At 55.3% G+C, this 16,787-nt stretch overlaps 1 protein-coding gene across 43 annotated transcripts in view, besides 1 other annotated feature; it reads left to right on the forward strand.

Moving 5' to 3' along the window:
* The window catches only part of ARHGEF10L (Rho guanine nucleotide exchange factor 10 like), a 184,441-nt gene that overhangs the window by 98,131 nt on the left and 69,523 nt on the right, over positions 1-16,787 (forward strand). For 20 of the 43 annotated variants that reach the window (XR_946686.4, XR_946691.3, XM_024448061.2 and 17 more), the window contains 7 exons: positions 4,529-4,637; positions 7,765-7,880; positions 10,299-10,376; positions 11,431-11,610; positions 12,822-12,938; positions 14,391-14,483; positions 15,765-15,938. Coding sequence is in view for 39 of the 43 variants with exons in the window: in XM_024448061.2 (XP_024303829.1) it covers positions 4,529-4,637; positions 7,765-7,880; positions 10,299-10,376; positions 11,431-11,610; positions 12,822-12,938; positions 14,391-14,483; positions 15,765-15,938 (867 nt within the window). In the remaining 4 variants the exon portion in view is untranslated. Of the gene's footprint in view, positions 1-1,492; positions 1,610-4,528; positions 4,638-6,747; positions 6,958-7,764; positions 7,881-10,298; positions 10,377-11,430; positions 11,611-12,821; positions 12,939-14,390; positions 14,484-15,764; positions 15,939-16,787 lie in introns of those variants that run through there. The other 23 variants (NR_137288.2, XM_047424111.1, NM_001438940.1 and 20 more) reach the window with 5 other exon arrangements.
* Positions 4,825-5,326: an enhancer, noted in NCBI's record as "H3K27ac hESC enhancer chr1:17942885-17943386 (GRCh37/hg19 assembly coordinates)". NCBI's record gives its function as "activates a minimal SCP1, AML or CMV promoter by ChIP-STARR-seq in naive H9 embryonic stem cells {active_cell/tissue: H9 hESC(naive)}" and the evidence as "EXISTENCE:reporter gene assay evidence [ECO:0000049][PMID:30033119]".

Below are 16,787 nucleotides of genomic sequence, written 5' to 3' on the forward strand. Positions count from 1 at the left end.
ATCCATCCATCCACTCATCCATTCACCCATCCAACAAATATTGAGCACTTGCAATTTAAAAGATAATAATGGCTTCCATTTTTTGAATACTTAATAAGCTCTGGGCTTTGCATGTACATTTAATTTTCTCAACAACCCTATGCAGTAGCTACTATTATGGCCACTTTACCAGTGAGGAAGCTGCAGCTCAGGTAAAGAGACTTCTCTAGCTAGTAAGCAGAGATCCATGATTTGAGCAGGAGCCTACATGCCTCCAGAACTCACACTCTTGATCCTTCTGTCTACTTCTCTAGAAGTAGCACCTGTCTTGGTCTTTTGTGTACTTTACCAAATATCACTGTTGCTCATATGGTTCGTGCATTTGAATATCTATCTGTTCTTCTGTCCATCTACCTGTTCTCCCATCGGTTTGTCCATCCATCCATCCATCCATCCATCCATCCTCCAGATAGTCTGTAAGCTGAGCATCCATTCTTCCATCCAGTTGCCCATCCCCCTCCCTCCCTTTTACCCTTCACCCATCCTCCCTCCATTCATTCTCCAGCAGTGTGCCAGAGGCAGCTAGTGTCAGCTCACAAGAACTCAGGAGCCAGTTATGAGCATCTCTTTACAAATTCCCATTCAGTGATGTCACTTTGGTAGCTTGGAATTGGTGGAAGTATTCACACCATGGAAATGCTTCAAAGCAGGGCCCTTTTTCCTGCAGAACTGGTTGTTAAATATTTGCCAGCACAGCACTGCCTGAATCCATTCTCCTACCGTCCATCCATCCTCTTATTCCTTCATCTGACTGTCTCTTCATCCATCCATCTGTCCATTTGCCCAGCTATATAGTCACCTAACCAAATTTATCCATTTGCTCATCCATCTATTTATCTGTGCATCTATTCATTCATCCATTTATTTATTCATCCATCCATCCCTCTATGAGCCTGTTCGTCTACCCATCCACCTGCCTGTCTGTTGCCCATCCATCTGCCAAACTCTTCTTCTACCCTTCCATTCATCTTTCTGTGGATTTACCCACTTATCCATTTATCCCCCAACCTCATTCCATCTATCCATCCACCTGCCATCTGTCTATCTCACAAACTTACAGAGAAGCTCCTATGTTACAAGCCCTGTGCTGGGCCACAGGGCCGGGGAGAAGACACAGTTCTTGCCCTCAGAGCATTTTCCCTTTTCCCTAAGACAGGAGACCTGGATTTACTCCCCTCCCGCCTCTCCGCCCCAGCAGCCCAGATTCCCTGCTGCAGAGACCCGGCCCCCAGCTGCCTGGCATGGTGGGGTTGGACACAGCTGGAGCAGATTCCGGGCAGGATCTGGCTGGACTGCTGCCTGGGACCTGGGGTGCCGCATCCCGCCTGCCCGAGCTGTCCGTCCGCACTTTACCTGAGTCTCCTTTCTCCCCTGTTGTCTGTGTTTTGTCTCCTTCCTGTCCCGCCTGCTCCTCTCACCTGCTTTCCTTCTGCCTGGCCGCTTGGGGCTCCAGCTTTCTCCAGACCTGACTAGGCTAAAGGAGAGATACGCCAGGACTAAGAGAGACATCTTGGCTTTGAGAGTTGGGGGGAGAGACATGCAGGAGCTGAAGCACAAGTACGATTGTAAGGTATTGTCTGTCTGTCCCCTCAAGCCCTGGATGGGGGCTGTTTCCAGCTGCAGCTACCTCCAAGGGTTTTCCTGCTGCCCTGGTACCACGAAGCCTACCAGGCCCACCCTTGAGTCCCAGGGCTGTCCTGAGACCTGGACCCTGGCCACCCTTGCATCTGTGCTGGAACTGGCAGATGCCTTAAGCCACATGTTCCCTTCCATGTTCTCACCCCTATCTTTCTCCCCACCTGCAAGTGAAACCCTGATAGTCCACAAGAATTCCCAGGAGGGTTTTCAAACTTTAGGACCCTTGCAATCACCTGGGGTGCTGTGTTAAAAATGCAGGTTCCTGAGTTCCAGCCCCAAGGGTGCCACTTACGTAGGTCTGGGACGAGGCTCAGGAATCTGCACATTTCATAATCTGCACAGTTGGGGTTACACATTGAAAAACGTGAGTGTTGCTGACATTGGATGTTCCTATCTCTCCACACTATTCAGAGGAATCCAGGATAAGGAAGTCTGTAGGAGAAATCACAGTACTTGCTTAAACTTTTGGATGATGATATCGACAACAGTAGCTTCCATTAACTGAGCACCTGCTCTGTGTCTTGGCTAAAGGCATGGACTTTCGAGGTCTGTGGGCCTGGTTTGAATCCCAATCTCACCACTTCCTCATGGTGTGATCCTGAGCAGGCCCCTTGGCCTCTCTGAGCCTCGGTTTCCCTGCCTTTGAAATGGGGGCATTCACAGTACCAGCCCCCAGGGTGGCTTTGAAGGTCAACGATCAGGCCTCTTGGGTGTACGGTGCTGTGCTGGGTCTAGAAGCTCAGTGGACAGTGGCTGTTGTTATCTACATGCCTGACCGCCCTGTCCTTGTGGCACTCTGGGCAGTAGCTGCCTTTCTGCATCTTTTAGTGTCAAGTACCCGGCTAGTGGCCACAGCAGTGGTTCACGACAGAGCTGGGATTCCAACTTGGGTCTGCAGTGTGCCAGAGCTCAAACGTCCTCCATCCTGCAGTGCTGCCCGCTTTATTGGAATGTGAAGCCTTCCAGGAGGAGGAGAGCAGACCCTTTACAGTTACGAGACCTTTCACAGATACCCGCGAGAGGCCTGCAACCCAGGGTAGGGGCGGGGCTAACCTCTCAGGAAGCCAAGGCTTAGAGAGGTGCCCAGAGCTAGAGAAGGGCAGAGTCTAAGACTGGGCCTTTCCCCCGCTTCGGCCACACACTGTGGGAATGGGTGGATTCGGCAGGTGTACTCGGGGACACCTTCTAGGGTGTTGGCCTGTTCTTTTTTGCCCAGGAAAATGCCAAGAGAAGGGCCTCAGATGATCCCTTGAAAGACCACTTTGGGGGCTCGCAGGACAGCACCACTGATGGCTTTCTGCCAGGACAGGAACTGGATTCTGGAACAGAGGTTTCAGATCTCTGAGGGTGTGACCCCCTCCTCCCACCCCCCAACAAGAAGAAGATGAGCGTCTATGCCATCCCTTTCGTTAGATTCTCAAAGGCCTCTATGATTACTCCCCTTGCCCAACCCCAGAAAAGGCCAAGCACAGCTTCTCTAGGATTGTCCCGTAGAAATGCAGGGCAGGCAGGGGACTTCCTTCTTTTTCCCTGCTGCTGGTTCCTTCCAGAAAGTCAGCCTTGTTCCTTGAAAGCCACCACCCCTGCTTCCCCATGCACAGCACCTGGTGGCTTTTCAGCAACCCTTCCTTGCCCAGACCCCCAAGAAGTGCTTGGATACTTAAGTGGGGACCAAAGGGTTATTGGAGGTGATAGAGCAGAGACCAGAGACAACCCCACCCCGCAGATTAGTGCTCCCCACCTTCAGCAGAGAGTTTTAGGAAGGAGAAGGTTTTCTTAGGACTGCACTGTCCATTATGATAGCCACGTGGCTCTTTAAATGGAAATTAACTAAAAGTAAATATAATTAGAAATTTGGGTGCTTCCTCGCACCAGCACATTTCAAGTGCTCAATAGTCGCATGTGGCCCGTGGCTCCCATTTTGGACAGGGCAGATACAGAGTGTTTCTGTCATTGCAGAGCCTTCTCTTTGCTGGTGCTGCTGTATGCTGGAGAAGATGCGGGTGCTAGGGCTGGGGCTTGGGAGGACAAAGGACTGGCTGAGGGGACAGCAGCTCTGTCAGGCCTGGGTTCCCCCAGCACCTCGGATGCCCACTTCCCTCTTCTGGGCACGCGGTCTCCTTACGTCTCATGTTCTGCTTAGCTTGCTACGCTCGTGTCCATGGATCCCCTCCCCACTGCCAGAGGAAGCTGCCTCTTCTTTCTGGCAACTTCAGCCTTTTCTCCTTTTCCCGGATGGTGGCTCAGTAAGAAACCTGGCTGTTTCGGGGGAGGCAAGGGACGGGTCCCTCACCTGGGTTTGGCGGATGGGATGGGGGTGTGCACACACCTCCTTTAGTTGCTCCTAAGGTCATGTTCAACATTCGTGGAGTGCATTTTTCTGCTCAGGGAGCTTTCCCAGACCCGGAATGTTTGGTGCTCACAGACCCTGGCAAGGATCGGTATTGCTGTTCCTCAGTTTTGCCTGGGGAAATGGAGGCTCAGTGACGTTCAGTGACGTGCCCAGAGTCATGCCATTGGCGGGTGGCCCAGGGCTCCAGGTCTCCAGCACCCCTCGGCCCCCTCCTCACCAGGTCACATCATCTCCTGGATTAGAAATCTGCTCACATAGTCTGTCCTGAAAGGAAAAAAATCGGTTACAGCCTCCTGTTGCCCCTAAAGAGGGAGATCCCCGGGCATGAACGCACCTTCTCACCCCCACTGTCGTCCTTGGCCTTTGCTCACGGACCTGGGAGGGAAGGGTCTGGGTGGTTCTGATCTCTGCAGGCCGAGGCCTGGGGAGGCGGGTGGCCCTCGGTAGCAGGCATCCCAGGCCGTCCCTTCCCTGATGAGCCTCTCTACCTTTGCTCAGATGACCCAGCTCATGAAGGCCGCCAAGAGCGGGACCAAGGATGGGCTGGAGAAGACACGGATGGCCGTGATGCGCAAAGTCTCCTTCCTGCACAGGAAGGACGTCCTCGGTGAGGCGCTGCCCGAGCGGGAGGGTCTGGTGCCCAGCTCTGACTGGGGGTCGGGGAGGGTGGGATTTTGCTTTACACCCCAGAGGTCATGCTGGGTGGGTACCACTTGGCGTATGGTTCCTCTGGTGGTGGGGGTTGGGGGCTGAGTCCCAAATATCCTGGTAGGTCCCAGTGTGCCTCCCCCTCCTCTGGCAGGCGTGGCCTGTCCCTTCTGGGAGAGCTGGGCCTCTTCTTTCAGCGTCCCTGCTCCTGCTTTTGTCACGGCCGTCTTGGCCTCCTGCCCCCTGCGCTGTCTGGCTCACCTGTCCTCATCTTTTTTGTTCCTGTTCCCTCCTTCCTTTATCCATCCACCCATCTCTCCAACCAGCTGACATTTACGGAATCCTACTAAGCGCCACAGCCTGTGCTGCATGCAGGGACCCACGATGCATGTATCAGCAGTGCCTCTGGGGCCAGCTGTTGGCACAGCGCGGGAGACAGGCACAGGCATGGGAAATGACAGGACAGGTTGACAAGTGGTCCACTGGGGTGCCCTGGGGGGCATGGAGGAAATGAGGATGGACTTGGGGGATGAAAGGTCAGGGAAGGAGGAGGCACAGGTCACCAGGCAGAGCGGAGTGGGTGCTCTGGGAAGAGGAGCGAGCGGGTGTGCAGAGCCCCGGATGTGGGAAAGTACGAGATGTTCCAGAGATGCTCTTAGTCAGCACTGACTGAGTATTTATTGTGTGCCAGGTGCTGCCCTATGAGCCTACAGTTCCTCACTTCATCCTTATCCTCACCACACAAGGCGCACAGAACTCTCACATTCCCACGCAGCAGATGAGGGAATAGGCACAGAGAGGTTGTGTCAGGGCTGAGGACACACAGGCCTGGAAGGGATAGAGGAGGCCTCAGGTGGCGGAAGTGAGGGCGGGCATGATAGGCCAGGGTCCGGTCAGTACAGGCTCTGTCAGCCTTGCTGGGCATTTGCCTTTGGTCTTAAGGATGCTGCATAAACCCCATTAGAGGGTTTTACGCAGAAGCGTCCCATGGTCAGATTTGATCAATTGATCATTCATGTGACAAGTTTTATTAAGCATCTACTATGTGCTAGGAACTGTCCTAAAGCCATGGGACACAGCTGTGAATATGAGTCCTGCCCCTGATCCCCTGAAGCCCCCTTCAGGTGCCTACCCTTGCTCCTGGTCCCCACCAGGCTCCAGTCCATTCCTCTGGAGAATGTCTAGGTCAGGGCCCCTGATGTATTCCCAGGCATTGGTGGGACAGGGTCAAGTAAGACCGGCCCCTGCTGCCCATCTCACATCTTTAGAGGTGACAGACAAGGAGACAAGGAATCCCAGTACAGTGGGCTCACAGCTGATGGAATTCTGGGATGCCAGTTCTCTTTGGAAGGAAGGAGGCTTTGTCTGCTGCCTGCCCTCGGCACATGGCCTGATGCAGCAGAAGGAACACAGGCCTCGAGCCAGGCAGGACTTTGAGAGCCTGTGTCATCCTAGAAAATTCTGTAATCTCCCTGTGCCTCAGTTTCCTCATCCGTACAGTGGGGTGGCTGTCTGTCTTGTAGGGCTGTGGTGAGGATGTCCTAGGTAGTATGAGGAGAGAGAGAGCCCCATGTAGCAGACGTTATTCTTGGTGGGCGGTCAGTCCCTAAGTGGAGGCGTTTGGTGCCAGGACGGCCTCGTGCTGGCCTGTTCAGACCCTGGCTCTGCGGCTTTCTGGCTGTGTCGCCTTGCACTTTTTCCCCTCTTGGGGCGGCAGACCATAAATGGGTTTTCATCTGTAACATGGGTTGAGCCCCACCCGTGCACTTGGTGCGGTGCTCAGCCAGAGTGGGTGTGCACAGGCCTGGCACAGGCTGGGTGCTCAGTGAATGTCCATGTTCCCTCTGCATTTTGGGGAGCACTGACCCCCGATGATGGAGGGAGCAGGCCAAGTGGCCATTCTAAACTCATTGAGATGGTCCGAAGACAGGATAACGTGGCCAGGCCAGCTGGCTGGGAACTCTTCCTGGGTCACCCTCCCAACCCCAGGCTGGCTAGGGCTCTCCTCAGCCCTCCCCACCCCGCCCACAAGCCCAGCGCCTTCCTGAAGTGACCCTCCCTGCAGAGGCGATATTAATAGCCGTGGCAGGGCTCGAATCACAGGCCAAGAATGTTACCCAGCAGCTCGTGGGGGAAGAGGAAGCTGCGAGGCAGGCTGGGGTGGGTGCGGAGTGATGCCCGGGGCGTGATGTGGGCCCGGCAGGAGGGTCTGCACCACCCCCACCCCCACGCCGTCATCCGCTGTCCCTCCTCCTCCTCCTCCTCTGTCTCCTGCTCAGGTAAGGGCCTATTGGGGTGTCTCTACCCCCTCCCACCCTTGGGGTTGCTGCCGCTTCTTCTTTCCTCCCCAGCTTCCTCACAGCTCCCATTTCCTGCTGCCCACAGCCACCGCTGGAGTCAGAGCCATTCAGCAGCTGGGATCCCCTCTCCCGGCACCTGTACCTTGCTCTGTTGGGGGCTGGAACCCTCTCCGGAGCCTCCCTCACTATCTGACCTCCTCCCACTCTCAGAGGCTTGGGCCTCTGTCCATCTCATTCCGTCCTCCGTCTGAGGTCCAGCTCCACTCACTCCTGGGATTCCATGTCAGGCTCCTGTTGAACTTTTTCCCTTTAGCTCTGCATGTTTTATTTCAAAAGGAAAGTGCCAAACCACGCTGCCCTGTTCTTCTCGGGGCTTATTTTCTTCCCCCTTTTAGACTTCCAGAAGAAAACTATTTTTAGTTCCTAGTGATGGGGACATGGGCAGCTAGCCTTCGCCAGGCCAGAGCGGGCGGGCCTGAGCAGGGACAGTGGCTTCTGGCAGCATGGACGCCGAGAACCCAGGCCCCACAGGACGCAGCTTTGATTTCTGCCTGTTCACCCTCTCGCTCACTTGCTCACAATTATTCACTGATGGAATGTTCCAGGCCCTGGGACGTAGCAGGGAACTCCTGAGAAGGAGCTACCGGGCGGCTCTAACCCCACGGGGCCCCAGGAGCTGCTTGCACCCTAGGACCTGGGTCCAAGGCTGGTCTAGGGGGGCTCTCAGCTCCTGAGGCCTGAGCAGGGTGTGCTGTCCCTGCCTTAGCTGTGTCATCGGCCCATCTGACTTTCCAGGTGACTCGGAGGAGGAGGACATGGGGCTCCTGGAGGTCAGCGTTTCGGACATCAAGCCCCCAGCCCCAGAGCTGGGCCCCATGCCAGAGGGCCTGAGCCCTCAGCAGGTCTGTGGGGGAGTGGGGCAGGTGGGGGTCTGCAGGGGAAGGGGTGGCTTGGGGGTTCCAGCCTGTTCTCTGGGGCCACGCTTGTCTGGATCTCACAGGGGATATGATGACTGGGGGCTCTTGGCAGAGCCCAGCTGGATAGGGGCCTCCTAGGTTCTCTCCTCAGCTATTGAACAGGCTTTCCACTTTCTACCCCGTGTGCTCTGTGCTGTTGGTTTTGGGGGGTGGGCTCCCGGCATCTAGAACGCTTGCGTCCCCCAACTCCATGGCATGCAGAGCAGTCCCGTTGGCTGTTTCTGACTAAGGTGTCATTTGAAGAATGAGATGGGATCCAGACTCAGGTGAGGCTGCAGGTGTGTAGGTGCCCAGTCCCTGCCATCTGTCCACCTGTCCTCACCCTGGGCCTCAGAGCTGCCACAAGCTCCCACCAGGAACTGAGGCTCTTTAAGAATGGCTTCCTTGGCTGGGTGCGGTGGCTCATGCCTGTAACCCCAGCACTTTGGGAGGGTGAAGCCGGTGGGTCAGCTGAGGTCAGGAGTTCGAGACCATCCTGGCCAACATGGTGAAACCCCATCTCTACTAAAAATACAAAAAACAAACAAAAAAAATTAGATGTGCATGGTGGTACACGCTTGTAGTCTCAGCTATTCGGGAGGCTGAGGCAGGAGAATCACTTGAACCTGGGAGGCAGAGGTTGCAGTGAGCCGAGATCGCGCCACTGCACTCCAGCCTGGTGACACAGCGAGTGAGACTCTGTCTCAAAAAAAAAAAAAAAAAATGGCTTCCTTCTTGTAGAGCATCGTGCTGAGGTCGGGCAGCTTTGCTCTGGGATCTCAGCCCAGTCATGTTGTCCCTTCGCTATCTGTGTTTTGCCAGCCATGAAACAGGGTGCGAGATCCCTGATTCCTCTGGCTGTGAGGCCACTGAGCAGGATGTGTTGTAGGATGGTGGGTAGAGACCAGGGAAGCTGCTGAACATCCTACGAGGCACGGGACAGCCCCACTATGGGGAGTTACTTGGCCCCAGATGTCCTTGTGCTCTGCTCTGGGTGCCACTTGAGTACCTGGGGATTGTTGACAATGGATCAACAATGGGACAGTGGTCTTGCCATCTGCTGGGACTGTGTGGCCAGGCCATGGCCAGGCCTGGCTGCAGGCAGGGCAGTGGGAAGATGGGAGAAGAGCCTGCTGGAGGCAGGAGGAGGCAGCAGAGGGAGTAGGGCAGGGAGCCGGGGTTCTGGTGGTGGTGGGCTCCTGATGGACGCTCAGGACAGCTGTGGGGGTAGAGTAGGGGGTCAGTCACCTCCCAACCCGAGATCGAGAGGGATGGGCTCCCCTTCAGACCCCTGTCACATGTGACACCTCCTGTGAGCAGCGTCCTAACTTTGCTGCACAATAGAGCCACCTGGGAAGATTTCAAAGTCCCTGGTATCCAGGTTCCACCTTGTTCAGAGGACGGTAGAACTTCAGAAGGTCTGGGGTGGGAGCCAGGTGACTGTGTTGGAAAGATCCTCAGCTGAGGGAGGTGCAAGCCACACCATGCTCGACGGGGTACTGCAGGCTGCAGCTGAGGGGTTGTGATCCACTCCGTGGGCCAGGCTTCTGGAGGGTTACGGTGATGGTGGAAGGGAAAGGAGAAGGGACTGGGGATGTTTAGCCAGAAGCAGAGACCACTCGTGTGGGGGGACGGTACCCCAAGGCCTGTCTTGTGGAAGAGGGATAGCTCAAGGATTTCATTCGCAAGTGAAGGGAGCTGAGATTCGGTTCATGCTAATGCTAAGACAGAATTTTCTTTTCTTTTTTTTTGAGATGGAGTCTTGCTCTGTTGCCCAGGCTGGAGTGCAGTGGCGCGATCTTGGCCCACTGCAACCTCTGCCTCCCAGGTTCCAGCAATTCTCTTGCTTCAGCCTCCAAAGTAGCTGGGACTATAGGCGCGTGCCACCACGCCCAGCTGATTTTTGTATTTTTACTAGAGACAGGGTTTCACCATGTTGGCCAGGCTGGTTTCGAACTCCTGACTTCAGGTGATTTGCCCATCTCTGCCTCCCAAAGTGCTGGGATTACAAGCATGAGCCACCTTGCCTGGCCTAGGATTTTCTATTAGAGTTGTCCAAAGATGGAGGTGGTCACCCGCCACCATGGAGGAGCGTGGTGATTACCCCATCCCCAGATGTATGTGCACAGAGGGGCTTTCCCTGGGATGTGCCCTTCCTCCTCCATTCTGTAGCCAGGCAGCAGGGCATTTATTTAGGGTTGGCAGGGGCTCTGGAAGGAAGAGTGGCCACCAGGCCCAGTGGTCCCAGGTGGGACCTGGGAGGGATGGGTTTCTCTGTCCTATAGTTGTCAGCTCCCCTTCCTGTCACTTGGGCCCTGTGCAGCAGGTGTCATGTGCGCTGACCGTGCTTTTTGGCCCGAGCAGGTGGTCCGGAGGCATATCCTGGGCTCCATCGTGCAGAGCGAAGGCAGCTACGTGGAGTCTCTGAAGCGGATACTCCAGGTGCGACTTCAGGGAGTTCTCAAGGGTCTCTGGGGAGAAGCAGGGAGGGCCCTGGAGGGTAACTTTATACGGAGTGTTTGGGGACTGTGGGCAGTTTTAAGGGGACAGGACCATAAGCCAGCACTGCTTTATGGGGACAGTAGAACCTCCAAATGTAGGCAGCAAGAATTCCTGATGCCCTGGTGTTCACGGGAGTGACTTCTTTGTGAACAAAATGGGATTCTTTGAAATGACTCCTGGAGAGCTGAGGGCATATACTCCCATTTATGACTGGAAGGCACTGTGTCCTCCTGCCACTCTGGAAGCCCCTGGGGCTTGGGCCATGTCTTCCCATCCTCCTGGGATCCTTAGTTGGGAAGATGTGTAGGATGGAGTCCTCCTTCTTGCATCGAGAGGAGTAGGATCGAGTCCTCTTTTTTGCATCAGGAGGCCCAGGGGTTGCTGAGCAGATGCTTGCATGAAGTGACTAGTATGTGCCAACCTGAGAATCCCTGAGACAGTGTTTGAATCCCTGAGACAGTGACTTTTCCGGGCGGTTGTGGGCTACCAGAGTAAGGCCACCAGGGTGGGGAATTGTTGCTAATGATACCCTCTCTTCCCCTCTTGAGTTTGGATCCTCAGAGAGGGATCCTAGGCATCAGGCAGGTAGAGATGAATATATCACCTGTCTCTGACAAAGCTAATTGGAGAGTGACGCGGGGTGTGGGAGCCAAGGGAGCTTGTAGTGACCTTACCGCTCGTGGGCTCAGTGACAGGCAGAGCTTCGCCCTCAGGCCGGCCTCCAAGGAGCTCCTTGCAGGCAGATGGCGCATAAAAGACCCTCTTCCTCCCGACCAATTAACACAGAAGCATGGGGGTGTTGTGTGTGGCCAGTGAGGCCAGGGGTGTTATGGTGATGGAGATCCTTCCGGAAGGACGCATGAGGAGTGAGGGATGAGTGCCTCCCCTCCGTGCCACGGGAAGGCCCATTCATGGCTGGCCGAGTTCTGCATGAGGGCAGGTAGGGAGAGAGGCTGCGGCCTGGCCTGCGGCCTCACCCCGCCCTCCCCGGCAGGACTACCGCAACCCCCTGATGGAGATGGAGCCCAAGGCGCTGAGCGCCCGCAAGTGCCAGGTGGTGTTCTTCCGCGTGAAGGAGATCCTGCACTGCCACTCCATGTTCCAGATCGCCCTGTCCTCCCGCGTGGCTGAGTGGGATTCCACCGAGAAGATCGGGGACCTCTTCGTGGCCTCGGTAAGTGTCCCCAAACTTTTTCCCCAGCCCACCAAGGTAAAACCACAACCAGTCTGACCCCGGGGCCATGCAGTCCAGCCTCCTGCCTCTGCCTGCTTGCCTTGTTCAAGTCAGTGGGATTAGAGGGTGGCAGGGTCTTCTGGGCCTGATCTAGGGGTGAGTGTGACACCTTGAAGTGGCCAGGATGTCCTTGGATATACCTGGCAGGCCATGGTGCTGATGAAGCCAGGTGGCTGTCCTGGCTCCTCCCAGGTGGCAGCACCCCCTGGCCTCCCAGTCACTGTGGGCAGCCACCTGGCCGGTCACAAGCTCTCTTACCGAGCACTTGAGGGGTTTCAAGCCAGTGTGAAATGCTGTGAAAGACCACAACTTTGGCCCGGAGAGGATGTGCCGCAGTGCTGGGGAAAGGGCACTGGCTCACGATCCGGGGGACCTGGTTCTGGTCCCAGCTCAGTTCTGCAACCTAGGGCAGGTCCAGGGCCCACTCTGAGCCCAGGCTTGCCATCTGTGGAATGAGGGGTGCACTGGATTTCTGGCTTTTCTAGCTGAAGTCTGCGGACCCCAGATGTTCATGGGGTGAGGGAAGGTCAAGTTGGTAGCACTCTACTTTGATGTGTTTTAGGTAACTAGGTTTTGCTAAAAGAAAAAAACTTTTTTTTGAAAGCCACAGCGCTCGATAGAGTCACTGAATAGGTCTGATGTTCTGGGTGTATATCAAGGGGCTCTGGAGAGAGAGTTGATTGACTCCAGGCCGACCATCCCTCCCTTGGTAACTCAACTCTGGGCACGCTGCCCGGTGAGAGGCCAGGAGCACTTTCCTTAAAGGTGGAGGGCAAGGGGCATTCGATTTCCTGAACGTGAATGCAGTAGAAGGGGTGTTCCCCCTGCCCTTCTCCTCCCTCCACCTGTGGGCTTGGGCTGCTGCACTGGGGATGGAGACCTGGGAGGCGAAGGTCCCCTGGGCTCTCCTGTGGCACCACCCCATCCCACCTGTGACCTCAGGCCAGCCTCTCTACCTCTCTGAGCTCCATGTCCACACCCCAGTGGGGGTGATGGATTTGCACAGCTCGAGGTCCCAAGGGAGTGTGGGGTGAGTGCAGGCGCCCTTCTGCTCCCTGCCTTGAGGCGGCCTCCCTGGCCCACACCTGCCTCGTTTCCTTCTGCTCCCTGCATTGAGGCGGTCTCCCTGGCCCACACCTGCCTTGTTTCAGTTTTCCAAGTCCATGGTGCTAGATGTGTACAGTGACTACGTGAACAACTTCACCAGTGCCATGTCCATCATCAAGAAGGCCTGCCTCACCAAGCCTGCCTTCCTCGAGTTCCTCAAGGTGGGCCTCCATGGTGGTACCGTGCCTGGTCAGGGTGGGCAGGGAGATTGCTCAGGAGGAAGGGAGCATTTTGGCCCCAGCTTTGGGTATGACATCATAGCTTTGGCCTGGACAGCTCCCCTCTTTCTTTTGGGGCAGCCCAGTCCCATGGGAAGAAAATCGTTCCCTCCTGCCCCTGGGAGGAGCGTAGCCAAGTGTCTGTAAGCAACTGGGATCCTGGAGCTTTGGCAGGGTGGAGGGAAGACCTGTGTCATCTTGCTGACCCTTTGCCTCCTGTGCCCTGGTGAGTGGGTGGGTCTGCCTGGCTGGCCCTGTGGTGGGCTGTGGCTCCCGGGTTGCTAAGCTGGTTCCTTTTCCTCATTTATAAAAGGGTGAGGAAATTCCTTATAGGGGTATCTTGGGCATTGCTTGGGAGAGTAAAGGTTAAAGGCTTCGAAAAGCTTCTGAGTTCTCATGTGCCCAGCCTCTGCTGATTTCTTTGGGAGTGTAGTCTGGTGAGTCAGAGCCCCTGCCTGTAGGGAGCCTGCTGGCTGGCAGAGGATGCAACTGGGCTAGGTGCCAGGACACGCACACATGTGCCGGCAGCACAGGTTAGATGCCACGGCCTCAGTGGAGGAACCCACTGTCCCCATCAAAGAGAACAGGGGATCAGGAGGAGCCACCATCTGACATGGGCCCTGGCGGGGGATGGTGGGATTGTGCCAAATAAAGACAGAGGAGAGCCTATATCAGGTGTAAGGATAGTGGAGCAAAGGTTAGAGGCAGGAGGAGAGGGATGGGCAGGTCTGTTTGGATTCTGGGAGCACTGATGCCTGTTGGGGAGTCCCAGGAGAGAAGGCCTGAGTGTGCACACTAAGAGGCGGCTGAGTTCAGTTGGGTGGTTCTAGACCTCCAGGCCCAGGGCCTAGGATGTAATATTTCAGGTAATGGGGAGCCATTGAAGGATTTTGAGCTAGGGTAGATGGAAGTGGAGGCAGGTGGAGAAACTGTGGGATTGCAGCATATGGGGGCCAGGACCAGGTAACAGGTGTGTGGATGGAGTGGGGGATGGATGCAAGAGACAGGACAGAAGGTCCCCCTGTGCCCCGCCCCTTACCCTAGCCCAAATCTGTCTGCATTTAGTTTAAGTGGAGGGAATGGTTGCCTTGGCCACTTCTAGAAGTCTGACATCTTGAATAAATTGCTGAGTTTCCCAGTTATGCCTTTAGTTCAGAGACCTTAAGATGACTGCTTTAGTCTCCTGAGGGTGCGCGGCCATGCAGGGGCACTGGTGGGAGAGGGATCCCTGGCTGCAGAACCACGGACCTCTCTCAGCTCTTCTTGCAAGCCCAGGGATAGGCAGGGTCTTAGGGCCTGGGGAGAGGAGCCCAGAATGGGGACAGTGTCTGGACTCTGGGGCACTGGGCCCTCTCTGCAGGGGGTCAGCGAATGACGGAACCTTGTCTCCACCAGCGACGGCAGGTGTGCAGCCCAGACCGTGTCACCCTCTACGGGCTGATGGTCAAGCCCATCCAGAGGTTCCCACAGTTCATACTCCTGCTTCAGGTACTGCTCAGGATTCCAGCAGCTTCAACCCACAGGGTTTGCCTGTGGGCTGGGAGGTGCCTCCTGGGGTAGGAGGGAGGAGGTCTGGGCTCTTGTCCGTGATCCATAACCCACCCAACCTGCTGTGGGACTCTGGCCTCATCTTTCTCCACTTCTAGAGTGAAATTGATTGTAACTGACAGCTCAGTTTGCACGCCCCTCTGTGGGGGACGCTGAGGGACTGCTGGTGGCCTGAGTCTGGGTTGCAGGAAGGGAGTGAAGGCACAGGGAATCCCGGGACCCGCAGGGCTCCTGGCATGGAGGAGATGCTCAGTAAACATGCTGAGCTTGGCCATTTCAGATTCGAGCTTCAGAACAGGGGATTCCTAAGGGACATTAGCCCCACACAGGGTCCTGGAGAGCTTGGGACACTGTCCCAACCACTGAGGGTCCTTGGGCAGGGGCTGGCCCTCATCAGGGAGCTGAGAGGGTGGCTACCAGGCTGAGGGGTCCGGTGGCACATTGCTATCCACTCTCAGTGCTGCTGGCCTGTGGGAGTGGGCTCTTATGTAACCATACCATTTATCAATTGATCAGTGATTGATCTATAAGTTTATTTATTTACCATCATAACCATTTCTAAGTGCATTCACATTGTTCTGCAACCATCACCACCACCCATCCCAGAACTTTCTCATCATCCTGAACCGAAACTCTGCCCATTCAACAACTCCCGATTCTCCCTCCCCACAGCCTCCGGCAACCACCATTCTACCCTGTGTCTCTATGACTCTGACTGCTCTAGGAAAACACGTATACGTGGAATCATACAATGTTTTTCTTTTCGTGACTGGCTTGTTTTCCTTAACATGAGGTCTTCAAGATTCATCGTGTCCTAGCATGTGTCTGAATTTCCTTCCTTTTCAAGGCTGAATAATACGCCATTGTATGGAGAGACCACATTTTGTTTACGCGTTAGTCTGTCGACGGACATTTTTGCCTCCACATTTTGGCGACTGTGGCTAATGCTGCTATGAACATGGCTGGACAAATATCTGTTTGAGACCCCGCTTTCAGTTCATGTGGGTCTATTCCTAGAAAGATCCATGCTTTTGTTTTCTTTTTCATGCATTAGCTGTTTCTTGAGGTCTTGTTCTGCATCTGGTGCCATCTGTCCTGGCCTCAGGCCGGGCCCTTTGCAGACCCAGTGTGTGTAGGGGGTTGCGCAGGGTGAGGCTTTGCCCCAGGCTGGGGTAGAGTTGGTCATGGGTGGGCTGCTCAGTCTCTGCTCTGACCTGGCAGGACATGCTGAAGAACACCCCCAGGGGCCATCCGGACAGGCTGTCGCTGCAGCTGGCCCTCACAGAGCTGGAGACGCTGGCTGAGAAGCTGAACGAGCAGAAGCGGCTGGCTGACCAGGTGGCTGAGATCCAGCAGCTGACCAAGAGCGTCAGTGACCGCAGCAGCCTCAACAAGGTGAGCTGGGCCTCCCACCTGCCTGCCCTCACCTGCCTGCCCTCACCTGTGCTCCTGCCCGTGCCCCTGCCCCACGCCACCCACACTAGGTGGCAGTGTTCTCTGAGGGAGGGGAGGCCTTGCTCTTCCAAGGATGTGACCTTGGGGATTGGATCCTCAGCGGGACCCCCACGTTCATTCCTGTTCATGTTATTTTAAGATAAAAGTTCATTTTGTGCATCAGTGTGATTTCCAGTAAAGTCTCCAGAAATCAAAGCCTAGTTAAATGAACAGGCTCTGGAGAGTCAGAATCTGGGTTTAGATCCAGATTTTGCCATAGGTGCTTGCTGTGTGCCCTCAAGGGAATCACCCACCCTCTCTGAACCTCACTTGCTCCCTTTGAAATGAGGAGCATTTAATAGCACCGGAGCCCTAGGGCTGCTGCCGCAAAAGAGGGAGCTGGCAAAGTGGCTTCGTGATTGTCCTTAACACAAGAAGAAAGATGAAAAGTCCATGCCATGTTTTGGGGTTGCCGCTTAGGAACATGCTATTAAAAAAAAAAAAAGAAAATTGGGCTGGGCGTGGTAGCTCACGCCTGTAGTCCCAGCACTTTGGGAGGCTGAGGCAGGCAGATCACCTGAGGTCAGGAGTTCGAGACCAGCCTGGCCAACATGGTGAAACCTTGTCTCTACTAAAAATATAAAAATTAGCCAGGCATGGTGGCACACGCCTGTAATCCCGGAAGGCTGAGGAAGGAGAATCACTTGAATTCAGGAGGCAGAGGTTGCAGTGAACCGAGATTGTGCCACTGTACTCCAGCCTGGGTGACAGAGGGAGACTCTGTCTCTAAAGGAAAAAAACCAAACAAAA

This window comes from Homo sapiens, chromosome 1, assembly GCF_000001405.40.
Source record: "Homo sapiens chromosome 1, GRCh38.p14 Primary Assembly".
In the NCBI taxonomy this organism is placed as follows: Eukaryota; Metazoa; Chordata; class Mammalia; order Primates; family Hominidae; genus Homo; species Homo sapiens.